Source organism: Homo sapiens, chromosome 19 (assembly GCF_000001405.40).
Source record: "Homo sapiens chromosome 19, GRCh38.p14 Primary Assembly".
Classification (NCBI taxonomy): Eukaryota; Metazoa; Chordata; class Mammalia; order Primates; family Hominidae; genus Homo; species Homo sapiens.
In genome coordinates, this window is record NC_000019.10 from 34,150,115 (window position 1) to 34,156,114 (window position 6,000).

Below are 6,000 nucleotides of genomic sequence, written 5' to 3' on the forward strand. Positions count from 1 at the left end.
AAAAAATGTTTTTTAAGTTTTTGTAGAGACAGAGTCTGGCCATACTGCCCAGGCTGGTCTGGAACTCTTGGGCTTAAGTGGTCCTCCCACCTCAGCCTCCCAAAGTGCTGGGATTATACGTGTAAGCCACCAGCCCAGCTACAATTCTAATTTTTCTTTTCTTTTCTTTTTTTTTTTTTTTGAGATGAAGTCTCACTCTGTCACCCAGGCTAGAGTGCAATGGTGTGATCCTGGCTCACTGTAACCTCCGCCTCCCGGGTTCAAGCGACTCTCCCACCTCAGTTTCCCAAGTAGCTGGGACTATAGGTGTGCACCACCAGGCCCGGCTAATTTTTGTATTTTTAGTAGAAACAGGGTTTCACCACGTTGGCCAGGCTGGTCACAAACTCCTAACCTAAGGTGATCCACCCACCTTGCCCTCCCAAAGTACTGGGATTACAGGCATGAACCACCGCACCTGGCCTAGAATTCTAACTTTTAGACATTTAGACACATGGTATGTCATCTCCATTTGCACTTTGCCCCTGCCCATAATGCAAGGGGCAGCCTGTGTGAAAGCACAAACGCTTCTCAGAACAGCCTTAGCCAGGCTGGCCTGGTCCCCACAGATGTTCACCAGGGAAGGGAGTCTGCAGGCTGGCTTCTATCTCCACATCTCCCCTGGGAGAGTCCGGAGCAATTCCTGGGCCATGCCTCCCAGCCTCCCCTTGCCTGCAGCCACTCAGCTCAGCACCAGACCCCAGCCTTGGTGCTCAGCTTCTCAACAACAGAGCAGAGAAGACCCCAAACTGGCCAGTTCCTCCGTCTTCCCACCCTCTACTTCTGGAATCTCTTTTCTCTTTCCTTCTTCCTTTTTTTAATATACATTTAAGGGGTATAAGTGCAGATTCCTTAAATACATATATTTCGTCATAGTGAAGTCTGGGCGTGTAGCGTACCCATCACCCGAATAATGAACAATGTACCCAACAGGTAATTCTTCAACCCTCATCCCCCTCCCACTCTCCCACGTTCTGGAGTCTCCAATGTCTATTATTCCACTCTGTATGTCCATATGCACCCATTGTTTAGCTCCCACTTATAAGAATACACAGTATTTCACTTTCTGCTTCTAAGTTATTTCTGTTAGAACAATGGCCTCCAGGCCAGGCATGGTGGCTCATGCCTGAAATCCTGCACTTTGGGAGGCCGAGGCGGGTGGATCACCTGAGGTCAGGAATTCAAGACCAGCCTGGCCAACATGGTGAAACCCTATCTCTACTAAAAATAAAAAAATTAGCCAGACATGGTGGCCCACACCTGTAATCCCAGCTACTTGGGAGACTGAGGCAGGAGAACCATGTGAATCTGGGAGACGGAGGTTGCAATGAGCCAAGATCGTGCCACTGCACTCCAGCCTGGGTGACAGAGCAAGACTCCATCTCAAAAAAAAAAAAAACCAAAAAAAACAAAAAAAATAACAATGGCCTCCAGCTCCATCCCATGTGGCTGCAAAATACATGATTTCATCCTTTTCTAGGGCTGAGTAGTATTCCATGGTGTACATATACCACGTTTTCTTTATCCAGTCCTCCGCTGATGGACACTTAGATTGATCCATGACTTTGCTATTGTGAACAGTGCTGTAAGGAACATACGAGTGCAGGTGTCTTTTTGATATGATTTATTTCCCTTTGGGTATTTACCCACAGTTGGTTTGCTGGATGGAATGGTAGTTCTATTGTTAGTTCTTTGAGAAATCTCTATACTGTTTTCCATAAAGGTTGTACTAATTTACATTCCCACTAACAGAGTACAAACATTCCCTTTTCTCTGCATCTTTGCCAACATCTGTTGTTTTTTGTGGAATGTCTTTTCTTTATAGTCGATCTAATTTCCTTTAACCTCTTGATATATGAACAACAAATTCATCCCTTGCGGCAGCATTAAGACCTTTGGAGGTTTCCTGCTCTCCTCTCATTCACTGAACACACACACCACCACCACCACCCCACTACCATGACTACCCCATCTCTGCCATCTGATCAGCACAGGGCCTGAAGGCACATTCCCTGTACCCAGAGCACTATGAAGCAACACAATGTTGTAGGAGTTACCATCCTACCAACACTACTGCACGCTCACGTCCAAGATGCTTTGGAATTCCAGCTAACAAAGTAACACCAATATGGTACCCAGGTCGCATAAGCACTCAAGTGTATCCAGAAAGATGAGCAATTCTTTTTTTTTATATATACTTTAAGTTTTAGGGTACATGTGCACAACACACAGGTTAGTTACACATGTATACATGTGCCATGTTGGTGTGCTGCACCCATTGAGCAATTCTTTAAAATGTGATCCCATGAAATATTTCTAACTTTTCACAATCTCAAAAAGTAAGTGACAGCTATTGCTCTAAATATCACTTTCAATAATATAGTACTTGTAGCAAGGCATCCTATAATTTTAAGAGCTACATAATGTAAATTACGTAATTTACATAATTATTATAATATAGTAACTGTTCTTTTCATTATTTTGCTCAGTGTTTTTACTTTTATCCTAAAATTGCTTTCCATAAACTCCAAAAGTTGTTTCTTTTAATACTTTCAGTCTCTAGAGAAAAAGCAATTTTATGAAAGTGTTTTGCAATAATATATTGATTAATTACTCTATCATTTTATTTGCCAATAGTTAGGCCCATTCCTTAGCATAATTTACTTATTTGTCTCTTCATTGACTCAGGCCACCATCAGAACACATAATTATTCATGATAAGAAGTTGGGCAAAGCAGGAATTTTGCACACAAAGAGGTAGAGCCGAATCAGATATTGAGTACATTAATTTCTTTTGTAACTGGGTGCTGTAATAAGAGAGCTGAGGCTTGGACTTTAAAACTTGTGGTACAAATCTTGACCCAGCCGTCAACCACCTCAAGTCAAGACTATCACCTTCCCCAGCCCTTAGTGCCCCCACTATCGAGAGAGGAACTTGGTGATACTGGTTCCTGTACAACACAGGTAGTATGACGATCAAGTGATAAAATGCTTATAAGAGAGCATTAATACCAGTGACATCAATGTGCTAGTTGTTATCTCATGACATGCAAAGTCTTCTCATTGGATCATGATTCCCAATACTGTCATGGCATTGCTTTCCTTTGACAGATTGTGATGGTTGGTTTTTCATGACAACTTGGCTAGGCTAAGGGATGGGCAGATCACTGGTACAACATTATTTCTGGGTGTGTCTGTGCAGATGCTTCTGGAATAGATTAGCATTTGAAACAGGTGACTGAGTAAAGATTACTCTCACCCATGTGGGTGGGCATCATCCAATCTATTGAGACCCTGAATAGAACAAAAAGACAAGAGGCCAGGCATAGTGGTTCACATCTGTAATCCCAGCATTTTGGGAGGCCAAGGCAGGAGGATTGCTTGAGGCCAGGTGTTCAAGACCAGTCTGGGCAACAGAGTGAGATCTTGTCTCTACAAAAAATTTAAAAATTAGTGTGGCGTGGTGGTGAGATGGGATTTGTTCCCTTGACCTTCACCCCCTTCATGGGCGAGAACTGGAGTGGCTCATTTCGCTCAGCCTGCCGCTGGCCACTCCTTGCAAGAGGGAGCGTGTGAGCAAGCGAGTGTGGGAACCAGAGGGAACAAACGCTAGAACCAAGTTCTGGCGGGAGCAGGCTCTGTATGGGCCTCACAGCAGCATCCAAGCCCCTGCCCTTTTCGCACCCAGGTTCTTGTCCGGCATCCAGGAAGGATCAGGTTGCATGAACGGATTGAAGGGTAGCATATGTGGGGTATCTTACTGGGTGATGGAAGTGGCTCTCAGAGGGATGGGAATTGGAAAGGGGATGGTGCGGGAAGAAGGTGATCTTCCCCTGAAGCCACACCATCTGAAGTTAGCTGTGTCTTGCAGAGATCCAGCCACTGCACTCCAGCCTGGGCAACAGAGCGAGTCTCCGTCTCAAAAAAAATAAAATAAAATAAATAATTTCAACAGAATTATTAAAGATGTTAAATAGCCAGGTGCAGCGATTCATGCCAGTAATCCCAGCACTTTGGAAGGCTGAGACAGCAGGATTATTTGAGGTCAGGAGTTCAAGACCAACACAGAAAGACCCTGTCTCTAACAACAACAAAAAAAAATTTAGCCAGGCTCATGTTGGTGTGTACTTGTAGCCCCAGCTACTCTGAAGGCTGAGGCAGGAGGATCACTTGAGATCAGAATTTGAGGCCACAGTGAGTTATGACTGCACTACTGTACTCCAGCTCAGGTGATAGACAGCAAGACCCTGTCATTAAATTAAAAAAAAAAAAAAAAAGATGTAAAGTAGAGGGTGGACCCAAAGGACAAATACTGTAGGACCAATACCACTTATATGAGGTTCCCAGAGGGGTCAGATTCACAGCCACAGTAGGCAAGATGGTGGTTTCCAGGGGCTGGGGGAAAGGGGAATGAAGAGTTATTGTTTAAATTGGTACTGAATTTTATTTGTGTGTTTGTGGCTTTGTTTTTTGTTTTTGCTTTGTTTTTGTTTTGTTTTGTTTTGTTTTGAGATAGAGTCTTTGTCACCCAGGCTGGAGTGCGGTGGCATCATCTTGGCTCACTGCAACCTCTGCCTCCCAGATTCAAGTGATTCTTGTGCCTTGGCTGCCCCAGTAGCTGGGATTACAGGTGTGCACCATCGTGCCAGGCTAATTTTTGTATTTTTAGTAGAGACAGCATTTCACCATGTTGCCCAGACTGATCTCGAACTCCTGAGCTCAAGCGATCCACCCGCCTCAGCCTCCCAAAGTGCTGGCCGTGCCTGACTGGGGATAGAATTTTAGTTTGGGGAGATAGAAAAGTTCTGGAGACAGATGGTAGTCATGGTTGCACAATAATGTGAATGTATTTAATGCCACTGAACTGTACACAGAGAAGTGGTTAAAATGGTGATGTTTATGTTATGTGTATTTTATCATACGCACACAAAAATAAAGGGTAGCAGTAATGGACGAAGTGAAGCAGAGGCTGACGGGGACTGGAATGGCCATGGAGGGGAGGTGGAGAGGGGAATAGCAGCCAAGCAGGGAGCAACCCATACTTTGGGACCACCAAGTGGCTCATGCCCCATAAATTCCCAGTAGAGCAAAGGGTAGAAGTAAGACATGGAGTGGAATCTTCCTACACCCTGACCCTCACCCATCTCACACAGCAGCCATGTAGTAGCTTGACATGCACCCGCCCCAGAAAAGTTGCAGGGGTTCTTCTGTTAAAAAAAAAAAAAGAGGCTGGGTGCGGTGGCTCACACCTGTAATCCCAGCACTTTGGGAGGCCGAGGTGGGCAGATCACTTGAGGTCAGGAGTTTGAGACCAGCCTGGCCAACATGGTGAAACCCCGTCTCTACTAAAAATACAAAAATTAGCCAGGCGTGGTGGTGCACACCTGTAATCCCAGCTACTCAGGAGGCTGAGGCAGGAGAACTGCTTGAACCAGGGAGGTGGATGTTGCAGTGAGCCATAATCGCACCACTACACTGCAGCCTGGGCAACACAGCAACACTCTGTCTGAAAAAAAAAAAAAGCAAATGTCTTAAAACACCCACAATCTGTCATTGGAGGTTCACCAATGTCTAGAGAATGGCTTCCTTCCTGATCACCCTAAGTGAAGTCCTCCAGTGAATGAGTCCACTAAAAATACAGAGGCCCTCAACAAATGATTTATGACATCGTTCTCACATACATTCCAATATGGTGACTTTGATGAAAGTCTCCAACATGCAAGACTCACACTAAGATATGCAAGCAAAAAGCAGGACGAGGAGGCAGGGACATCTTCATGCTATGTAACTGTCAGCACAGCCAAACCCACGCATAGTCAGAACCAGTAGCACATGTGCATAACGGGCCCACCCTACCATGCACACAGCCTGGACAGCAGGCCTGCGTGGAGCAAACAAAGATAACTCAGGAATAGAAAAGAACTTTAAAATATCTCTATGTACTTGGCCTGTGAGCTAAAT